Consider the following 22425-nt stretch of genomic DNA (forward strand, 5'->3'; position numbering starts at 1 on the left):
AATTAGATGTCACCTTTTCTAAGAAGACTTCTTTGACCACTACTTCCTCAAAGTCTGATGCCATGACATGTAGTATGTTTTGTACTATCTCATAAAAGCTTGTCTACTTGCATACATGGTTTGGCACTCAATAAATGTTTGGCGAGTGAAGGAAAAAGTCAGGCATCAGATGCTGTGTGCTGGAGTCCATTTATTCAGGCCCTCAATTGAGAACAGCAAGGAAAGTGCCCTAGAGTGGGGAACCAGTCAGCCCACCTTCCCCAGCAACCCACCCCCCCCCGACCCTCCCCCTCCCCCCGTGAGTTTGAAGTGAACTGGTGGTCAGGTTGAAGCAGCAGGCACTCTGGCTCCTGAAGTGGCTGGGGCGATGGTGCTGCAGATAGCTGTGCACTCACAACAGGGGCAGTCAAGCCTCCCCAAGCAGTCAGTGAGAGCTGCTTCCTGGGAGCAGTGGGACAGATGTGGAGTCTGGAAGTGGGTCAAGTTGCAATCACAAGACCACTAGTCCTCACTCCTGCAGATGCTTGCTTTTTCTATGGTTATTGTGATGTGCTCAGCTAGAGAAATTTCTAATTGCTTACAAACCAAATTCCCAGGAGCCGGGCAGATGGTGATCCAAGAGTACAAATCCAGCCCAGGCCAGAGATGGGTAAAGGAGCTGCACTAGGCTGGCCAGGGCATCAGGGAAAGCTTTTTGTCCTGATTGTAAACAGTGTCCTCTCTTCTCCCAAACCCTTTGGACTCTTGCCTGACAGATTCTGGAGGGGTTGGGATAGGGGCAGTGAGTGCATCCTATCCAACCCCACACCCCACTACCCTGACTGTAATGCCGCTGAGATCGCTCTGGCACCACCTATGGGCCTCTGATTTACTATTTTAAACCAAATACCTTTTCCAAAACCAAAACTCTGCCCGTTTGGACCAATTGTTTTGCTCCAGGGACAGGGTCTGTAACACACAACAGAGATCTGGTGTCTGGAAAAGTTGAACATCTTTAGAAGAGCATAAAGAAAAAAGTAAAAGCCCATTTCTGAGTGAGGCCGGCCAGCCCAGCTGGAGAAGGCAACAGGCTGTTGGGAGAGCCAAAGGACCACTTGGCCAGCTTGTCAGACCCTGGGCCAAGCCATTGTATAAGCTCCAAAGTATTGGAAAGAAGGAAAGAAAAAAATCGGGACGTGTTTTTAGTCTTGCTCAGGAGCCCAGAACATGCTCACAACTCCAGGAATCTGCTCTTTTCTGCAAACGGAAAATGTGATCCATGAGAACAAATTTGACTGCTGGAGTGTGTGCCTATGTTGCCCTGCCCTGTAACTTAGGGGGCGAGGACTTACACCACCTGTGACTGCTTTCCAGAGTCCCCTGTACTCCTCTGAGAAGCTGGCTCACTTTAATAGTTAAGACAGGACAGTGGCCTCAGAATCGAAATACAGAGTATGCATTTATTGACATCTGCCCTGGGCTACACTGGGTTTCTAGCAAGAACAGAAGCGAATGCAAAGGGAAATGTACAAATACAGTTAGCAACCTGGTGTAATTGTGGATACCAGGAGATGTTCTTTCCAGACTTGGTAGAGGAACTATGATCACCCTATATTTAATAGCTTAACTTTGAATGTGCACTAGAATTCCAAATTTAGCAAAGAAATAAATAAGTTATTTACATTTCAAGTAAAAGTATTGTGTTTTATTTCTTTATTTCACCACCATTTATATGTATGAACTATGATCAAGGCTTGCCTATGTCCTGTGGAGCAAGGCCAAGAAATATGCTTTATATTGGTTATTTGATCTTCAGCATCAGATTATCACTATTGCAGAGGTGGGCAAAACCATGCAAAAAGAAGAGGAAGTATATTTGCATTAATGGCATTAAATGAAGTACAGTTGAAGCTGCAGAGTTTTACCAGTGGCCAATTTCTTGTGTTTCATTTAAAGAACAGTTTCACAAAGGGGCTTTATTGTGCCATTGTGGGGGCCACGTGCCAATCAGTAGCATGGGACAAAGTAAGTAAAGGCATGAAGAAACAAACAAGCAAATTCACGAAAACAGAAGTGCTTAAATTAACCAAGTGACAGTTTGTGCATCAGTCTCACAATGGCTGTCACATGAAATGAGGGCAGAAGAGGGTGAAGTACCACAAAACTTAGTTGATCAGGGGCTGTTGAGCAACTCTAGGAAATCTCAGAGAGGCCACCACTCCACCCTGGCGCTGGCCACCCCTGCTCGCTCGCTGCTGCCTCCTCGAGGGCACTCTTCCTTGGACAGTGCCTGCAGCAGGGGACTGGGCTGGGGTGCTTTGGAGGTACTGGAAGGCACTCTGGCGGCCTACTTGCCTCTCTACACAGTTGAAGGTGAGGGCTACTCCCACATTGCTCTTCATGATTCTGGAGGAGCCATCGGATGTGCCATCAAAGCACCGGCCGAGCGCGATCTCCTTGGCCGTGCGAGGGTCCTGGTCAGTGACAGTGTAGATGCCATAGTTGTGGCCCAGTGGGTCCAAGGGTGCCAGCATGGTGTACTCACTGGTGTCGTTGTTGACTGCAAGTGGCAAGTGGTTGACCAGGTACTCATGCAGCATGGGGTTCACACTGGCTCGACGGCAGCTGCCCTGGGGGATGACCTTCACCAGGGTGCGGTCCACACGGTCCTGATCATAGAGCATCCCACTGCACTTGAACTCCAGACAGGCAGCTGAGACATTGGGCTGGTCCCTGTCCCGAGTGCTCCTCACATCTCGGATTCCATACAGCTTCCCCACTGTCTGCCGATGAGTGCCCCCCATGTTGCGGGATCGCACATTCACTTCCAGTGGCCCCACAATCTTCACCTTGATATAGCAGGCCCTGAATTCCATCGGCTTTGGCCACCATGCCAGATAGTCTTCAGTCCAGCTCATAGGGTCATCTTCGTTGAAGGGGACTGTGTTGTAGTCATATCGATCCCCCTCAATCTGGTAGAACCGGAAGTGGGCTGCACTGGGTGGTGCCTCTTCACATGCCCGGAGGTTCTCAAAGGCATAGATGGGCCCATTGCTCTCCTCAGCTGAGTTGGGCCTTGGCTTGGCCATGCTAATCTGGAAAGCTGTCTTTTTAACCCGTGGATCCTCATGGTCCGTCCGACGGTAGTTGAGCTTGTTGAGATAGGGCTGAGGGACGCCAATTGCATTTGGGTTGAATTTAGGAGAAGACTCCACTGCTTGCAGTTCCTCCCCAGCCAGGCTTGCCAAGACATAGGCAGAGTAGGCATCAGGGGACTGGTCATCACAGAAGGCAGGCACACAGGCCCCGTTGGGGCCTGTGATGACACTGTCAAAGCGGCCCCAGGCCCTAGGGTTGGACAAGAAGCCAGTTCTAGGCTCCAGGTTAATCACGGAGATCACAACCCCCTGGATCTGCTCACTAGGCAAGAACCTCTCACTCCGGTAGGCCCTCACCTTAACAAAGCACCGCCTGCTTTCAGGAACATCCAGGTTAAAGAGCCTCCTCTCACGAATCTCCAGGTTGCCCACCAGGAAGGTTCTGTCTTCTCTTTTGTTCCTCCTTTGATTTTCAAATTTGAAATCACCTTCCTCCTCCCACAGCCCTGTGTCTGGATTGAGTGACCAGAGTTTCACTGTGGATATGTGCTCTGGCATCTTGACCTGGGTCGAGTCAAGGTGGACCTTCACTTTGCCAGCATTAAGTGGCTCTGAGGTGACCTCATCTCTGAAGTCCACAGAGAACATGCCATACGTCCGAAGGGGGAAAGTGTCTCCTTCGTCATTGATGAAGTTCAGGTCAGTCTGGGCAGCTGTGGCTGTGGAAATATTCCGGGGATCCAGGAAGGTCACACTGGCCTTCACTTTTCCTATGTAGGGCTCCCCATTCTGCCTGTAGAAACTCCTGGATGGAATCTCCAGTTCAGCCATGGGGTCTTCACCAACCACTTCCCCCAGGGGGATGATGTTGGTCTCCATGGCTTCCAAAGTGATGGGCTTTTTCCGACGAAGCATCTTGATTTCATGGAACACGGCACTCCCCTTCTTGTTGAAAGGTAGCACTTTGGTGGTGTTGACAAACTTCTGCAGCCTGTCCACAAATGTGAGCACCAGCCTCTCAGTGTCCTGGGGGACATGGAGGGTGAAAGTGCCCTTGTAGCCAGTCATGCTTACACGGCTGTTCCCCATGTACACATGGCCAAAGCGCATGGGCTCCCCATTGTCAGCAGCACTGACACGGCCCCGCACGATGCTCCGAGTTTCCGTACACCGCTGGCAGCTGCACTCCTTGGCCACCTTGGTGGGTAGCGTGTAGCCACTGCACTGGATCTCCCTTTCCTCTGTCTTGGAGATGCCACAGCAGTTCTGCACAGCATCACGGCACCTGATCCCATTATCCTGCTGCCCTGCACAAGTCTTAACAGGGCAGCGTCCCACGTCATAGTAGAAGGAGTTGGTGGCATTCTGAAAGCAATCATGGGGCAGCCGGATAAGATAGCTCTCAGGAACTGGGTTGCAAGGAGTCTCATCAGATGCTGTGTAGGGAAATGGTGTGGAAATTAAGATGTAAGTTTACATCCTACACAAAGAGTACCTCAACCTCACCTCTCTACAGTATTCTATGGTTTTCAAAGGACTTGTATATCCATGATTCTCATTCTCACAGAACTCTCTGAGAGGATAGAACAGCTATTACTGATCCCATTTTATATACCGGGAAACAGAGTTGGTTGATGGGACCACTACAGTGGCGGTTTGTCTCAATGGAGGGGTCTTGAAAATTTATGAAGGTGTTTTGGGTTATCTCCAAAATTGGGGATGCTACTGGCATATTGTGGGTAGGGGCCATTGATGTTCTATGTCCTGCAATGCCTGGCACTGTTCTGCATAAAGAATCTCTGTGTTCTGAACAACTTTCACATATCCCACCACTCATTCATGTAGGTAGAAAACCTGTTTAAAGTGATCAGAGCTTTGGCCGGATGCAGTGGCTCACACCTGTTATCCCAACAATTTGGGAGGCCAAGGTGGGTGGGTTGCTTGAGCCTAGGAGTTCGAGACCAGCCAGGGCAACATGATGAAACCCTGTCTCTACAAAAAATACAAAAATCAGCTGGGCATGGTGGCACACGCCTGTAGTCCCAGCTACTCAGGAGGCTGAGGTGGGAGGATTGCTTGAGCCTGGAAAGTCAATGCTGCAGTTAGCCGTGAGTGTGCCACTACCCTCCAGCCTGGGCGACAGAGCAAGACCCTGTCTAAAACAAATTAAAAGATCAGAGCCTAGTATCTTTTACATGGCTTTAACCATATACTGAATTTTTCAAGAATGCAACTACCATATAAATTGAGCTAAGATTATACTTTGTTTAGCTCAGAACAATACCAAGAATTGTTCCTCGTCTCAGGAAAATCACGTTTCTACAACACCATTACCCAAGGACTGTGAATGCCAGAATGATACCTCTGTATCCATCAGCACTTGTAGCGGTCATGTTTATGGTGACCCTGGATTTAAATGCAAGTAGTTAACTTCTTGGTTTGTCTTCTCGTGTCAATGTGCCAAAGCATTTAGATATGGGAATACACACTATTTTGTATTAAAATTTAAAAAATTTATCCTTTGTTTTATAGTTAGGACCATGCACATATACATTTGGAAATTATAGGTAGTTATCTATAAATGTAACTTCAGAATAATAAAGTAGTATTAAAAATTCCTGTAGCAAAGAGGGAGCCTTGGTGTGATGGGTTGGGACCACTGCTGAGGGCTCCATATCTCTGCCAATGTCCAGAGTACTGTGTGTCTTGTCTGCCCTGAGGTCTGTTGCTCAACTTTTTAAGAGTCTAAAGTAGTCCAGGATCCTTCCAATACATTCTGTCCTTCTCTGCGTTTTGTTTTGTTTAGGCCAATTACCAAGCTATCTTCCTTCCTACTCATTTTCCAAAGACAGGCCCCTGATTGGTCTTTGGCCTCTAATCTCTCCCCATCCAGTTCTGTTCTTGAAGCCAGCTCTAGATCACCCTTTCTTGTAAAGCCCCCTCAGTTCCCACTTCTATATCTTTACCCATGCTGGCCCCTCAATCTGGAACACCCTCACCTCCACATACACAATCCCTGCCCATTCTTTAAGACCAGGGGTTCTAACCTTGGTTGCAAATTGGAATCACATGGGGAGGTTTTAAACTATGCATGCCCAGGCCACATCTCAGACCAATTAAGTCAGACTCTCTGGAGGTAAGACTGAGGCATCAGTATTTTTTCAAACCCAGTCAGGTCATACCAATGGGCAGCCAAAGCTGAGAACCATTACTTAAGCCCCAGCTGGAAAGCTGCTCCCTCAAGTAGCCATCCATGGTCACTCCCACCTGGGAGGTATCTACCATCTATTAGAGTCCACAGCCCCTTGTCTCCTATTTTAGCTGCATTTTTCTTTTCTTCTTCTTCTTTTTTTTTTGAGACAGAGTCTTGCTCTGTTTCCCAGGCTGGAGTGCAGTGGCGTGAACTCGGCTCACTGCAACCTCTGCCTCCTGAGTTCAAGCGATTCTACTACCTCAGCCTCCTGAGTAGCTGGGATTACAGGCGCACGCCACCATGCCTGGCTAATTTTTGTATTTTTAGTAGACACAGGGTTTCACCATGTTGTCCAGGCTGGTCTCGAACTCCAAACCTGAGGTGATCCATCCACCTTGGCCTCCCAAAGTGCTGGGATTACAGGTGTGAGCCGCCACACCTGGCCTTAGCTGCATTTTTCTATCTTGTTTGTCGCTTATTTACATGTCTTCACTCCTCCTCAAATGATGGCTCCATGGTGGTAGGATTCAGATCTGTACCATCGTTATGTCCTAGAGGTCCTGGCACTGTGCACAGTACAGAAAAGCCTGAGCTTGGCCAGGCACGGTGGTTCATGCATGTAATCCCAGCACTTTGGGAGGACGAAAGAGGTGGTGGGGGTCAGGAGTTCAAGACCAGCCTGGCCAACATGGCGAAACACCATCTCTACTAAAAATATAAAAATTAGCCAGATGTGGTGGTGCACGCCTGTAATCCCAGCTATTCAGGAGGCTGAGGCAGGAGAATCACTTGAACCTGGGAGGCAGAGGTTGAAGTGAGCTGAGATGGTGCCACTGCACTCCAGCCTGGGTGACACAGCGAGACTCCATCTCAAAAAAAAAAAAAAAAAAAAAAGAAAGAAAGAAAAGAAAAGAAAAAAGAAAAGCCTTAGCTATTACTGCATAGTTATGCCCACCTGGGTGCTCAGCCAACCCTGTTGCAGACCCAGGGGCCCCAGGGACCCAGACAGGCTTACCTATGACAATCAGCTGGGCAACCTTGGACTTCACAGCCCCAGCATCACTCTGGGCCTTGCAAAAGTACTCCCCAGCCTGGTGCTGCTGCAGTTTCCTCAGCACCAGCTTGCTCTCATGCTTGTAGAGGGAAGGATCCAGCAATGTGTCATTATGATACCTGCAAGGGATGGAGAGGTAGAACCTGAATGGGCAGTGGGAGGGCAGGTATTCCTAGAAAAGTGCCAGGAGCAGGCAGCCAAGGAGACAGATGATGAATGGGTTCCCACAAATGTCAATATCACCTTTGACTTGGCTCATCCAAGAGCACTAATTGGCCTGGGAAACAAGGAGCTTGGTTCTAAGTCCCAGCCCTACCACGTACCTGGCTGGGGATGCTTGGACAACCTCCCCCACCCCATCTCACCAATCTGTACTTCAGCTTTCTGGTCTATAAAATGTCAGCAATGACTTCTAGCTGACTTCACAGGACTGTTGGATGGGTCAAATAAGAAAGTGGCTATAAAATGTTTGTGAAGGATAAAGGACTCACAGCCATAAGGGATTCTGCCCTTGTTTGCATTTTTTTTTTTTCCTGAGATGGAGTCTTGCTCTGTCGCCTAGGCTAGAGTACAGTGGCATGATCTTGACTCACTGCAACCTCCGTCTCCCAGGTTCAAGCGATTCTCCTGCCTTAGCCTCTCGAGTAGCTGGGATTACAGGCATGCACCACCACGCCCAGCTAATTTTTGTATTTTTAGTAGATATGGGGTTTCACCATGTTGGCCAGACTGGTCTCGAACTCCTGACCTCAAGTGACCCACCCTCCTCGGCCTCCCAAAGTGCTGGAATTACAGGCATGAGACACCATGCCTGGCCCCTTGTTTGCTTTTATTGGGAAAAGCAGGACCTAGGAACTTTGTTCTGTGTCCTGATGATATACAAGTCTGGACCCCAAGACCAGAGATGCTCCAGGGGACCACAGCTTTTTTTTTTTTTTTTTTTGAGACAAGATCACACACTGTCACTCAGGCTGGAGTGCAGTGGTGTGATCACAGCTCACTGCAACCTCCGCCTCCTGGACTCAAGCGATCCTCCTACCTCATCCTGCCGAGTAGCTGGTACTAGAAACACAAGCCTGCAAACCTGGCTAATTTTTTGCATTTTTTATAGAGACAGGGCTTTACTATGTTGTCCAGGCTGGTCTCGAGCTCCTGGGCTCAAGCAATCCACCTGCCACAGCCTCCCGAAGTGCTGGGATTACAGGCGTGAGCTACTGTGCCCGGCCAAAGGGTTCCCCCAGCTTTGAGGGTACAATGAGAGAGCTTGCTGGTTGTCTGGCTCCCAACCCCATGGCTCCCATTTGTAAGTCCCAACATCCGGGCTCTGTACCACTGTCTTACTTGTAACTTTATTCTGTTGGTTATTGTTCTTATTAATAAGTCCAGACCCAATGCAAGAAGCTCTGGTTTCCAGGAGGAGAATTGGGCAGGGTAGCTAGCAGAATACGCACCAAAAATACTTGTCTGGCCTGGGCTTCCCTGTGGCCTTACAGCACAGAGACACGCTCTGCCCAGCTCTCCGTGCTTTTGTCTCAGGGTTCATCACCATGTATGGAGTCTCTGGGACAGAAAATGAGAAATAGCATTTTGGGTTTTTGTGTGTGTGTGTGACAGGTTCTACAGAGCCTAGCTCCCTCAGGGTCTTTGATGTTGTGAAAATTATAAGGCTTCACCCCTACCCCCAGCCCATCTCCATTGGTCCTAAGGGAATTGGTTCAGAGTGGAGTCTATCCTTCCACACCCCCAATCCTGGGACCTCTCCCATGGCCTGTCAAGCAGCATCTGGGTGGGTCAGTGGTGAAACAAGGGGACCTTGTGTCAGCCAAGATTCCAAGCACTACCTTTGGGACAGAACTGACTGTTTTAAATAGTGCAATATTCATGTTCTGCTGCCCCTGGCAGAATTTTCTGGCCATCCTGCACCATTTCTGAACTTCCCAAGCCTTTCTCTCTGTGACCTGCAAACCGCACACTATATTGTATTGACCGTTAGATAAGGTGGCCAGGGAAGACCTCATACATTTGAGGGAGCAAGCCACGCCAATATCTATGGGAAGAACATTCTAAACAGAATACATGCAGCAAGCACGAAGGCCCTGAGGCAGGAATGTGCCTGTGTGTTTGAGGAACAGATAGGAGCCCATTGCAGTTGGAGTAGAGTGATTTGGTGTAGAGCGAGTAACAGGAGAGGAGAGCAGAGAAGAAATGGAGGGCCAGATAATATAGTGCCATGTGGGCCATGGTAAGGATTCGGGGTTTTACTCCAAGTTAGCTGGGAAGCCAGCTTTTAGCACTATAATCCCTTTATTTAAAAATCTGGACCTTCTCACCAGCCCTACCCCAAAGAATTTAGTTACCTGCCCTCACAAACTCTGCCTTGATGGTGGCTGCCTTCAGGCTAGTCTTGGGCATTGTGAGTACAATGGGGGCAAACTTGACCTTTGTGATCTTCAGGATGCTTTTGCCATCAGGGCACAAGCCAGGGATTCGGAATCTCCCATCACTGTCTGTCTGGGTCAGCAGCTTCGGCGTCTTGGTCAGGAGGTAGATAGCAGCCCCTGAGGCTGGGGCACCTCCGGGAAGGGAGACAGCCCCATGAAGCATGAAGTCCTGGCACATGCAGGCATCACAGTCAGCATTCACCTGGCCCATTGGGCAGGTCAGGTCACAGGCTGTGGAACAAGGGGCCATATCAGCAGGGATTCTATGGATTCTGGCATTCCTTCAGCCACATCACAGATCACTTCCTCTCCTCCTTGGCCTTTGCTACCCTCCCTTATCAGCCTGCATGACTAACTCCCACTCATCCTTTAAAACTTATCCCAAGGCCAGGCGTGGTGGCTCACACCTGTAATCCCAGGACTTTGGGAGGCCAAGGTGGGTGTATCACCTGAGGTCAGGAGTTTGAGACCAGCCTGGCCAACATGGTGAAACCTTGTCTCTACAAAAAATACAAAAATTAGCTGGGCATGGTGACACGCACCTGTAATCCCAGCTACTAGGGAGGCTGAGATAGTAGAATCCCTTAAACCCAGGAGGCGGAGGCTGGAGTAAGCCAAGATTGCGCCATTGCACTCCAGCCTGGGCAATGGAGCAAGACTCTGTCTCAAAACAACAACAACAACAACAACTTAGCCCAAAACACCTCCTCTAGGAAGCTCTCCTGGATTCCCCCAGGCTATGATAATTGACCCTGCCCTGTGTTCCTATATTATCCTGTATATCTCTCATTAGGGCACATAGTAGATGCTCAGTTAATACGTGGTGAGTAAGTAAATGAAGGAATCCATCAGTCTCAAACTGACCCTCTAACTCCCTCCTCATTCTTCAGCCTCACCCACCACACCCTGCCCAGTGCCAGGAGGGAGGGTGGTACCTGTACAGTCCTGGCCCATGCAGTGCTGACCCTCTTCGCTGGCCTCACTGCACAGCGACACCATCTCTGCCAAGCAAATGCGTGTGCGAGTCTGGACCCCAGTCTGACCACAGGCAGCTGAGCACTTGCTCCAGGGAGACCATGGGCTCCAGATGCGCTCTGTGTCTCGGCGCAGGGATCCTGCAAAGTGAGATCAGCAGACGGTCTGATTTCCCTCTTGAGGGAACTCTGTCAGGAAATCTGACCCTGAGGCTGTTTCTTCTCTGGTAAAGACAAGGTTTCCATTTATGTCGTAGATGTCACTGATATTTATATTTACTGCAGTGATTTTTCCAACAGACAAAATTCTTGAGGAAGTGAGGTCTCTAATTTGCACAGAGGCACCATATGGGCTAGGGGTGGCCCTGAGCGGTGCTTGTTGGCCAAGCACTGGGACTTTGATATGCTGTCCTAGGATGTGCAGGGATAGCACTGTCTTTCTTCTTCACCAGTGTGGAAACGGCCACATGCTCCTATGGAAGGACTCCCTGGGAATCAGGGACCCCTGGGAAGTCGGGGCCTGCAACATGCAATGACTTGGACAAGAAGCCCATTTCTGCCCACCTTCCTCACCTCTGGCCTGAGGCCTGTGTACAAGAATGGGGTCTTCACACCTTGCTCAGATCAGCCTGAGCTCCCATCCCAGATGACCACCACTGGCGTCTGGGCCTGGGGGATCTTGTGGAACCCTAAGGGAGAAGATCCCCATCCAAGAAGGGAGCAGGCCTGCTCCCCATAACATCTGTATTATCCATGGTGGGAGGGGATATAAATGCATAGACTCTGCAAACACGGACATGGTTCAAACCCCAGCTCTGCCTTATCAGCTATGGAATCGTGAGAAGTTACCTAGCTTCTCTGAACCTCGTGTAACTTGTCAAGATGGAGATCTCTCAAAGGTCAGTTGTAAAGGTTGAATAAAGTGGATAACTAGCACAGTATCTGGCACATAGGAACAAGAATAGAAACTAACACTCAGTGAGCATTTACCTGGGTTAAGCCTCTGCATTCATATCATTTAATCCTCATTAAAAACCCCTATGAAGACTTACTATTACCCAGGTGTCACATATGAGAAACCTGAAACTAAGAGAATTTCAGAAAATTTGTCTAGGGGACACATCATATTGCGGGCTCAGAATTCAAACCCAAGCAGCCCCACTTCAGAGCCTGTGGTCTTCACCATGGTACCACTCAAACATAATAAAATAGGTTGAATAGAGAGTACCCATAAACACAAAACACTATTGGAAAAGTTCTGGCATTAATGACACTACTTGTTATTATTACAGAGTCCAAGCATATGCATGTGTGTCACTACTTGTTATTATTACAGAGTCCAAGCATACGCATGTGTGTGATGCTGAGAGTTCTGGTGGCCAGAGGCAGGTTCTCCCTCTCCCTGAGTAGAGGCCAGTGGGAAGTAGCGGGTGGGGGTGGGGGCGTTCTGGCTTACCTGGTGGGCAGAGGAAGCGTACGGTGTAATTAGAGCAGTTCTGGCCAGGCCGCTGCTCCCTGTTGAGGCACCAGAAACCCTCACGGGGACTACCATGGACCACCTGGCCAGTGCTGCCCGCAGGTGTCCAGTCAGTGGTCCGAGCCTCTAGCCGCAGGGGACGGGCACATACACGGTCCCCATAGTAGAAGCGAATGGCGTCCAGCCGCTCATAGTCGCCCTTCCCGCCTGGGTAGTCGATGTTGAACCATGTTGTCCACTCACCAGGGCCTGAGAGACATAGCCAAATTGCGGAGGAGCCGTGATCCTGGTGCGCTCCAGTTCTCCTTTCCCTCTCACCCACCCCCAGCTGGCCTCAGGCCCTATCACATTTGTCTCTCCAGTATCTCTCCAATCCCCTCTTACACCTGCCACTGCTGAGGCCTCCATTCAAGCTCTCATCAGCCTGACTGAACCATGTCAGTCACTTTCCACATCAAGGCTCCTCCTCAATGCCACTCACACCCATCCCTGACCCTGCAGTCAGGGTGAGCTTTCTTCATGTGGCTCGGGCCACATCACCTCCAGCTTTAAGATCGTCTAGCTAGGCATTCAGGGTGCTGGTGAGCTGTCCCCAGCCATCTCTCCATACTCATCTCCCCACTCCCTTCCCACCAGCCTGTGCTCTGGCCCCAGCAAGCTCCACAGCATTCCTGAAAGGTATCAGGCAGATTCCTGATTCTGAGCTGTCTTATATACTAAGTTCCTTGGCTGGACAGAGATGGAGGCCAAATGCTTGTAAAAGTGGGTTTCCATGGGACCCTGACATCATGCCCTGGCTTCAGAGATCCACTTCGGAAGCTCGTTAAAGGCTGCCCCTCCAGCCCCTCCCTGCTTCAGCCACAACTCACTCTCCAGGGTGTCGGCAGGCTTGGCAAAGATGCTGGGGTTCTTCTTCCCAGGCTGGACTCTTCTTACTGACTGGGTGAGCATCGTCTGTCTCCCTGAGGGCCAGAAGGAGAAGCTAAGTGAGAGGCCAGGACTGGAAGTTACAGCATTCCTCAAGATGCAGGGAAACAGTGTGAGGTGGTGAATGGAGCATGAGCACCAGGCATGGGTTCAAACCCCACTCTGCTACTTATTGCTGTGCAATCTCAGAAAAGCTTTACTCCTCTGAGCCTGTTTCCCCATAAAATAGGAATGCACTAATAATTGCTGCATCCTAGGGTCCTGGTGCATTATTCAGGTGATAATGAATGTAAAGAGACCTGGCTTGTAGTGCACACTCAGTGAATGGTATCTCCCTTTTCACTCTTGTTCTAGAAATGGATTATCAGATGCTCCTGAGCAGCCAGTGGCCTGGGACTCCTGCTTTGGTGTCTGCACCAAACCTTCTTGGCAAAATGGAGCTTTGTTTTCCTCATGTGTAAAATGGAGATATTTATTCCCATCTCGCAGGGTGATTCAGTTGGCATGAGGATTCCATGAGCTAGAACGTAAAAGCCTCTGAAGTATATGCAGATTGACAGTGTGGGCTCCTGAGACTCTGCCAGTTTCTAACTGTGTGACTTTGGGCAAGTTACTTAACCCAGCTGACCCCATGTTCTTTCATCATAAAATAAGGATAATGATAGTTCCTGCCTTAGAGTATTGTGGGGATTAAATAAGCTCATTCATAAAATCCACTTAGAACAACACCTAGCACATAACGCATACTGAATAAGTGCTAGCAACTTCTTTTAGCTCAACGCCAGAATAGATGGCCATTTACTTTCCCTTGGGAGTCCACTCTCCCATAAAGACTCCTATGGCCTAATTGGGGCAGCGGTCCTCAATTTTCCATACGAGGCTGGCAGGGACTGCCTGAGGATGGGTACAGGGTCCTCGGGCCACAAGCAGTTCCAGCTGTACCCTACCTGAGGCTGGGTTGGGGTCTCCAGAATGGGAAGGAGAATGCGGAGCAGAGGGCTGCAGAAGCTTTGACAGGCAATTAACGCTTACTCCAGGAGCCAAATCAGAATTCTCTATGCTGCTTAATTGGGGTGATAGGAGCTCTTTTAATCAACCTAATCTGATTTCCCCTCAGATGGTTGAATGTTAATCATCTTCACAAGCAGCAGCTGTCAGGGTGGAAAGAGCAAGGCAGGAGGCAGGCACATACAGGGGTTGGCTCCAGGCTGAGACAGCCTTTGTTCCTGCATTTGTAGCCACAAATCCTGCAAGGCATACAGCTTTAAAGGAGGGTTTTGAGCTTTTTTTTTTTTTTTTTTTTTTTTGCTTTTGCTTTACCTGAGTATGTGCTTAGAAATCAGGAGAGGAAGGGGAGGAGGTGGGAGAGAGTGTGCAGGGGAGGGCTGACGCTTAGATGCCTTGGGAAGTCTTCTGTTCCACCAGACAAATTCTTTCTACGAGTTCCTTCCAGAGCTCAGTATCACCAGAGGATGCAGTCAGAGGGCAAGGAGACCGGAAGGGGTTCTGGTGTGTCTGTGAAATTTGGCTGCAGGGTCTAAATGAAATTGAGCTTTGGGCCAAAAGAATCTTCATAAAACTAAAAACAGACCAAACCCCAAACCTGCTTCTGAGATCTCACTGATGCCCTGTGATTCCCTATTACTTTGGCTGCCAGGAAGCTCGGAGCTCAATTTGGTACTCAAGGGCTAAAAATAACCCTCTTATCTTTTTTTCCTCCCTCTGAATGACTGCTCATCCCTCTTCTCATATAAAGGTTCTGTTTTGTGAGTTTTAATAATGGGAACAATCTCAAGTTTTGGAGAAAAACAAACAGGGTATAAATTACGAATAAATCCATAAAGTGGCCTCAGGTCTTAAGGCCTTGCTGTGTCTTAAGGCAGATGCATAGTTCAGTCCCAGACCAGACACAACCTCACTGTGGCAAGTGGAAGATTTGGGAGCCAGCAGATACTTAGCCTATACCCAACACAGATGTGACTTCCAGGACCAGGAAGGAGAACACCCAGGCCTTGGTCCCCACCATCTTTCCCCCAAGCCCGTGGGAACGTGGCAAGAGGTAGATGTGGGTGCTTCACAGAGTCACTGACTCTGGAATGCGGTCCCCTGGGAAGTTTCTCAGATCCAGTGACCTGTAAAGAAACAAAGCTTGTCAGGTTTCATATTTCTGAATCACCGCTTATGGCTCAAGCAGAAATATTTCTTGACCTGTCAAGGAGGGAAAGGTGGACAGAATGATATGAAAGTGATATCTGCCTGAGTTGTGAAACCAGGTAGCTTGGGAGGTGCAGAGGCTCAGAATCTGAGTTCAAATGAGGCAGACTAGGTTCCATCCCTGGGGGTAGGCTCCAGGGCCCCACATGGAGATGAGGCACAAGGACAAGCAGGGGCGAGGAGGTTCCTTGCAATGAGGAGAGTCCAGGGCTCACCCCCAGCAGCCTCTTGGTGACTCGTCACTTCTAAAACCCAGGCCTGAGGGGCATTTGTTTTGCCATCCTTTGATGGAGTTCACACTCTCACACAGGCGGGTACATATTAAGGCCGTGAAGACTTGGCTCCGACTCCAGTGGCCTCTCATAAGGCAGGCTGGCTGGAGGGTGCAGATGCCTCGGACATACCACCTCCATGAACACATTCCCAGATGTGCACGGGCTGCAGCTGGAACACATTTCTGGCCTTTTTGTTTGGGGCCTGACTGGGAGTTACACAGCCAGGAGCCAGCTGACGGAAAGCAGAGGGGATGCATTGTGAGAGGCCAGGGCTCCCCAGTAACTGCTGAGCGTGGGTGAGGAACTGCAAGGGTCAGGAGAGGAAAGCAGGCCTGGGACAAGGGCAAGGAACTATGGGGCGTGCGTGGCCCAGGCCGCAGCTGAGCAGAACATTTTTATGTCTCCCCAGAGCTCCGGCCAACCCAGAATCTGACTCGTTTCTGGGGATTCAAAAGTGGTTCCCTTCAACATCCTAAGTCCAGGGTGTGGTAGGAAAGGGAAGAGTCCTCCTCTCTAAAAAATACACATATCTGAAAACACTGGGATATTCCAGGGGAAGAAAAAACCAGTCCCATGCTGCAGACCTTCTAGCTCTAAAACCACTGGCCCCACCACTACCTGTTTCTCGGATGAGGGAGCAGAGTCACCAGGACGTCCCAAAGGCCTCCACATTGTGTGTATCCCTCTGGGCTCCAAGCAGGGAGCTGAGCAGTCTGCTGGCCTGCACTGCATTCAGCCTGAGCCTGAGCCTGCTCCAGGGATGTCTGGAGGCTGAGGTGGCCTGAGACACCTTGTGGAAAAACCATTTCCCATCTGGCAGCCCACAGAGGTTTCTCAGCATCTCCGCCGTTTCCTCAGCATATGCCCTGATGGTTAGGCTTGCCATCCCACGCTCCTCAGAACACTTGGACAAAGCAGACTGGCTGACCGCAGGGAATAAAGCAGGGCACCCAGAGGTATGGAAACCCTAAGTGGGACCATCTGGGGGTTCCTGTCCTCAGGTGGGGGAGGGAGAGGACTTTGGGCCAATGGGGGAAAGCAGATTCCCAAAGCAGAAAGGGAGTCTTCTCTGTGGGAGATGAAGGATCAGGCAGCAAAAAGTGGGGGGAAGTGGGGAGAAGGGAATGGAGTAGTCAGGGGAGGGCAGGAGCAGTTGAGTCCAGCAGTGGGGTGCAGGGATGGGGTGAGGGGAATAGGAGTGGAGCTCACCGTGTCTTGAGCAGGACTCCTCAGCTGGGGGTCCAAGCCTTCGCCTCTCCAGCAGTCCAGTGCCGGCCTTATATAGCACAGCTGGTGGCTCAGCCTGTGGCAGCCAGCCAGAGGAAGCAGCAGCGAAACCAGATCTGAGCATGAGCCTCCCTCTCCCCTCCCCATGTCCCCTTGCAGTTCACAGAGGCCAGGATTTTATGTCCAGATCCTAAGGAGGAGATGCCGCAGGACCTGGTGATGGGCCAGGTGGGCAGTGGCCTGGGGCATCACAGTCCAGAGCAGAGAGAGGGGTCAGGAGGTGGGCTGGGCACTAGAAACAGCCCTGGGAAGGGGCCACGGGGAATTCTAGATCTGGGCAGCATTTCATGGCCCGGGGGATGGTGTGCTCTTGCCTAAGCCTAGCTTGCTGATGCCCCACATTCCCCTGGCCCTGGCTCGCCCACACAGAGAAAAGACTTTGCTGGTCTTAGCACATACTCCAAACACTCTTAGGCACACAGGCCACCTTGGCCTCTCAGCTGGGTGTGTCTGGTCTGAGTTGGGCAACTACTCAGCTTCTCTGGCTTCTGAGGGAACACTCAGGGAACCTCAGAAGGGATAAGGGACAAAAGAATTGTGGGGCATAGGTTGTCAGCTGGTGAGAACAGTTCTTCCTTTCTCCCCCCCACTTCCATCTGAGTGCCTGCTGGTACCCACTGAGACCCCAGAGCTCCAGCATGTGGACTCTTCTGAGACCCTGATGCTCATATATGTGCATGCGTGTGAGTACGTGTCTGCCTTCAGGTATAGGCATCCACCAGCATGTGAACAGCCAGTGTTACCCATAGGGGGCGTATGCAGCTGCATGTGCTCTGGGGCTTCACACCCCCACTCCCGGCCCCCTGGCCCCAGCATGAGGTTATCTGTTTGCACAGACACTGGTTCTCTAATTTTAGCATGTGTTAGAATCACCTGGAGGGCGGTTAAAGCAGATTTCTGGACCCCACACCCAGAGTTTCTGATTCAGTGGGGCCTGAGACTTTGCATTCTAACAAGTTCCCAGATGAGATTGATGCTGTTGGTTCATGGATCACATTTTGAGATTGACTGGTCACAGTGATAGAGCCCCAGTTGAAGGAAGAAGATGAAGAGCGAGTGTACTAAGGACCACAGTGGGAGCTTCCCAGGTCCTGCCCCATGTAGCAGGCTCATCTAGCCTGGGCTGGGCTTCCTGCCTCATGCCAGCAACTGGAGATGGAGGCCTGGTCCTGTGGCCATCCACGCCAGGGTCAGCTCACTCTCTCCACATACCTTTACCGAGCTCTTATTCCCAGGCTCTAGACTGGGCACTGGGAAGGCACAAGAAAAGAGATGTATCCTTGCACTCAGAGGAAAGAGCCTCACGTGGAAATGATCCCGTAGTACAACAGTGCATACCCACATGCCAGAGAGTTCTGTGTGTGTGTGTTTATGCCTTTTCCTGTGTGTATGTGTCTTTCTGTGTGTGTGTGTGTATGTGTGCGTAAGAGCTGTTTTTTCTGAGCATTGCCTTTGACAAGATATACTGGGAGGCTGGGTGGAGTGGCTCACGCCTGTAATCCCAACACTGTGGGAGACAGGGGCGGGTGGATCACTTGAGGTCAGGAGTTCAAGACCAGCCTGGTCAACATAGTGAAACCCATCTCTACTAAAAATAGAAAAACTAGCCAGGCATGGTGGAGTGTGCCTGTAATCCCAGCTACTTGGGAGACTGAGGCAGGAGAGTGGCTTGAACCCAGGAGGCAGAGGATGCAGTGAGTTGAGATCGTGCCACTGCACTCCAGCCTGGGTGACAGAGTGAGACTTGGTCTAAAAAAAAAAAAAAAAAAATCTGCTGGGGAAGAGAGTGGGGGTGGAGAAAGGATGTTGAGCAGCATGGTTCCCAAGTAGACCTGGGGCATAGATCTGATTTGCTTTATCTCCTGGAGCCCCGTCTCCCTCCTGGCCACCAGCCCTTGGTTCATAAGCCCTGTAGTTGGCCCTAGTCTGGTCCAACTTGTCAGAGCCAAGCCATGACTCAGTTTCAGCCATGGCTTTGACTGCAGACGTCTGAACTGAGTGAACCCCATGTGAAATCTGATGGCCTAAGGAATAGACAGACAGACAGGCTGAGCCACAATCCCCAGATCAAAGGACAGGAGAAAAATTGAAATTTGGAATTCAGAAGCCTAGTCCTGGCTGTTTCTGATTCTGATATGCGACCGTGAACTAGCAAGAACCCAAGTAACCCTGGGCCTCAGGTGTGCAACGGGAGATGGACTGAGTGAGTTTGCAGGCCCCTGCCAGCTCTGAGATTGCAAGGTTTGAGATATACAGATGCTCTTTGGCTTATAGTAATGTCCCAATAAACCCACTGTAAGTTGAAAATATCATAAGTAAAAAAAATACGCTTAATGCACCTAACCTACTGAACATCAGAACTTAGCCTAGCCTACCTTAAATATGTTCAGAACACTTACATTAGCCTACAGTAGCCTACAGTTGTACGAAACCATCTAACAAAAAGCCTATTTTACCATAAAGTATTGATTATCTCATGTGATACATTGAATACTGTACTGAAAGTGAAAAACACAATGGTTGTACAGGAAAGTACAGTTTCTACTGAATTTGTGTCACATTTGCACATCATAAAGTCGGAAAATTGTAACTTGAATCATCCTAAGTTGGGGACCATCTGTACTGACAGCAAACAGAGCTGGGAGGAGAGAGTGGAGGGAACGACTGCTCCTACGTGTCTGGCAGAAGTCAGAGGAGCCAGTGTGGAGTCAAGGTCAGGAGGAAGTCCAGAGAAGCAGATATGACCACCAAGGCTGGATAAGGACAGCAAGAGAGATACACAGGAAAGGAAGGTAGTGGGAGGTAAACCAGAGGGCAAGGTCAGGGTAATCAGCTGCTCTCCAAGGCCTTCATTCTGTGGAATGCCAGGGTGGGTAAGAGACGCCTCCCCAGCCTCCCAGTCACCTCCATCTCTTTCTGTAGTGGGAGGCAGGGTACCCTATGGGTGAGGATTGGGCAAAGTGGAGTGTTTTAGGCCAGGATTCCTGCCTGGGTCTCCTCATTCAGCCCAGCACTCACACTGAGGCCCTCACTTACCTAGCCCCAAGTGGCCAGTGCGTGTTAATATGGTAAGTACAGGGTTGAGGGCTGCGTTCCAATTCCACCATGCCATTTCCGTCCACCTGTCTCATATCTTGCCTCCTCCCATACTCCCATCAGAGTCCTTTCCTGTCTCCAAGTAGGAATGAGCTGTGTGAGCTGCACAGGGCTAGACTGGGGAAATCTGAGCCTGCCCTCACTCTCTCTTCCCAGGACTCCTTTGGGGGGGAAGCTATTGCTGTCCTCAACCAGGACCCCAGAATAGAGAGGGCTTTGGAGGTGGCCGTAGGTCTAGACTGTCCAAGGCCTGGCCTGGGTGGGTCAGCCTCAGCCACGAGTGGCCATCTGGGGCTTCTGCAAGCCAGGCTACTCTGCAGCCACTCCAAGCTTCTGCCTGGAACATGCTGGAAACCCATCAATCACCCCATCCCTGCCCAGGGGATGAAGGGACTTGGAACCCAGCTTAGCTAGGCCACCTGTAACCCAAGCCTATAGCCAGGGGTCCACACCCTGCACCCTGCAGTGGGGAAAGGAGCTTGGGAACACTGGGAGGGGTCTGACCTGATCCTGGTGGCTCAGGAGGAGGGTGCTCTATCTGACTCTCTGACCACCTGCCCACCACCTCTGTCGTCAACCCCTGTGGCTGGAGGAGGCCTTGGAGGCCTGTGGGGGGATAAGCAGCTGATAAACCTTGAAGAATGGAAGCCTTGGCTGTAGTTCTGAGTGACCATCAGTGGCTGCTGCCCCACTGCCTGGGAACACAGAAACCCAGAGTCCAGGGTGGTAGAGGGGGCTCACCCTCTGACCAAGTTGCTCTCCTCCCTCTCCTGGGTACCCTCTGTCATTGTTCTACCTCTGTGCCTTTATAATTTTATTCTCCAGCTTCCCATCTTGAAATACGGCCCTTCTCCCTCACCAGTGTGAATGTCCTTCTTCAAATCCCTGTCTCAGTGTCCTCCTTCCTGCCCTCTGCAACTACCCAGGCCCATCTTGAGTACTTCTTCCTCAGATCTCAGATAATAATACACAGTCACATGTAGATGACACTCTGTCATTTACAAGGCACATTAGTGGTGATCATCTCATCTTCAGTTTCACAGTCAATCTGTGAGGCAGGGATCAGCATGCCCATTTTACAGAGGATGAACTGAGGCTAAGAGGCATGAAGTCACTCAGCTATGGTAGGTCTTCAGCTCCAAGTTGCCCCTGTGAACCAGAGGTCTAATGTATACCTTGTCATAGGGTCCTCAGCTCAGAGGACCCACCATGGAAGTCACACCCCAACTGTAGGCTCCTCAGTGGGCACATGCCTAGAACAGTCTGTCCCACCTGCCTGGCATACACACCCTGCTTCCTGTATATATACTAATTCCAAAGATGTTCCCATCTAACATAATCCAGCTATCTACCACATTGTGGTGGATTAAATATGGCCACACATTCTTTGCAACTCTCCCATTATGAGGTGGAGCCTATTTATTCATTCCTTTGACCTGGACTGACTTTGTGACTTGCTTTGAATAAAGGAATAGAACAGAAGTGATGTTGCATAAGTTCTGGAGTTTAGGCCTCAAGAGAGCTTACAGTTTCCACCATCGCTCTCTTGGAACATTGTCTACCATCTAAGGAAGTCAGTCTATCCTACTGGAGGATGAGAGACCACATGGATAAGAACTGAGACCCTGAGCCAATGGCCAGACAGGTGAATGAGGCCATCTTGAACTTTCCACACATGCAGTTGCCTGAGAAAGTCCAGATGAGACCAACAGAGGAATGGTCTGGACCTTGATTCTGTACAGCCAACCCACAGAATCATGAGAAATAATAAATCATTGTTTTAAGCCACAGAGCTTTGGAGTGGTTTGTTATGCTGCAATAGATAACTGATACACTAAGAGTAAAAGCTCTTTCAGTTGCAAGTAATAAAGCACAACTCAAAATTTTTTTTTTTTTTTTTTTTTTTTTTTTGAGACAGAGTCTCACTCTGTTGCCCAGGCTGGAGTGCAGTAGCATGATCTTGGCTCACTGCAACCTCCACCTCCAGGGTTCAAGTGAGTTTCCTGCCTCAGCCTCCCAAGTAGCTGGGATTATAGGTGAGTGCCACCACGCCTGGCTAATTTTTGTATTTTTAGTAGAGACTCAGTTTCGCCATGTTGGCCAGGCTGGTCTCGAACTCCTGACCTCAGGTGATCCGTCTGCCTTGGCCTCCCAAAATGCTGGGATTACAGGCATGATTCACCACGCCCGGCCTCAAAATGGTTTAAGCAGAAAAAGAATCTGATGGTTCTGATGATGGAAATCTTGGTAAAAGTTGGATCTAGGTACTCAGACAACATCATTAGAACTTTTCTTTTTCCATATCTCAATTGCTTCCTCTGGATGGCTTTATTCTCAAGGAGGCTGTAGCAATCTGTATTTTCCAAAGATGGCTGCAATGGTATTTCCCCTTCCTTATGTTCTCATACAA

At 50.0% G+C, this 22425-nt stretch overlaps 1 protein-coding gene across 2 annotated transcripts, besides 1 other annotated feature; it reads right to left on the bottom strand.

Annotated features, from left to right (window-relative positions):
* CILP (cartilage intermediate layer protein) lies at positions 174–16887 on the bottom strand. 2 transcript variants are annotated; one of them, NM_003613.4, is made up of 9 exons: positions 16842–16887; positions 15109–15275; positions 13086–13178; positions 12196–12465; positions 10701–10880; positions 9682–9996; positions 8776–8884; positions 7286–7443; positions 174–4513 (listed from the first exon to the last, which is right to left on the bottom strand). In NM_003613.4, exons 2-9 carry the CDS (start codon positions 15167–15169, stop codon positions 2145–2147), a joined length of 3555 nt encoding a protein of 1184 aa, NP_003604.4. In that variant the 5' UTR covers positions 15170–15275; positions 16842–16887; the 3' UTR covers positions 174–2144. The 2 variants fall into 2 exon arrangements, with proteins under 2 accessions (NP_003604.4, XP_016878168.1); XM_017022679.2 differs by lacking the exons at positions 15109–15275; positions 16842–16887 and adding an exon at positions 14464–14702.
* Positions 17516–18417: an enhancer, noted in NCBI's record as "H3K27ac-H3K4me1 hESC enhancer chr15:65504440-65505341 (GRCh37/hg19 assembly coordinates)". NCBI's record gives its function as "activates a minimal SCP1, AML or CMV promoter by ChIP-STARR-seq in primed H9 embryonic stem cells {active_cell/tissue: H9 hESC(primed)}" and the evidence as "EXISTENCE:reporter gene assay evidence [ECO:0000049][PMID:30033119]".

Source organism: Homo sapiens, chromosome 15, assembly GCF_000001405.40.
Source record: "Homo sapiens chromosome 15, GRCh38.p14 Primary Assembly".
NCBI classification, from domain to species: domain Eukaryota; kingdom Metazoa; phylum Chordata; class Mammalia; order Primates; family Hominidae; genus Homo; species Homo sapiens.

What these genes read in the sequence shown, in the direction of transcription:
- CILP (NM_003613.4), bottom strand. Translation starts at nt 15,169, where the DNA reads ATGGTGGGGACCAAGGCCTGGGTGTTCTCCTTCCTGGTCCTGGAAGTC. An exon ending in AGGCCAGACAAGTATTTTTG is followed by an intron (nt 7,444 to 8,775) that starts GTGCGTATTCTG and finishes CATCCCTTGCAG; the next exon opens with GTATCATAATGACACATTGC. An exon ending in TGCCCAGCTGATTGTCATAG is followed by an intron (nt 4,514 to 7,285) that starts GTAAGCCTGTCT and finishes TTCCCTACACAG; the next exon opens with CATCTGATGAGACTCCTTGC.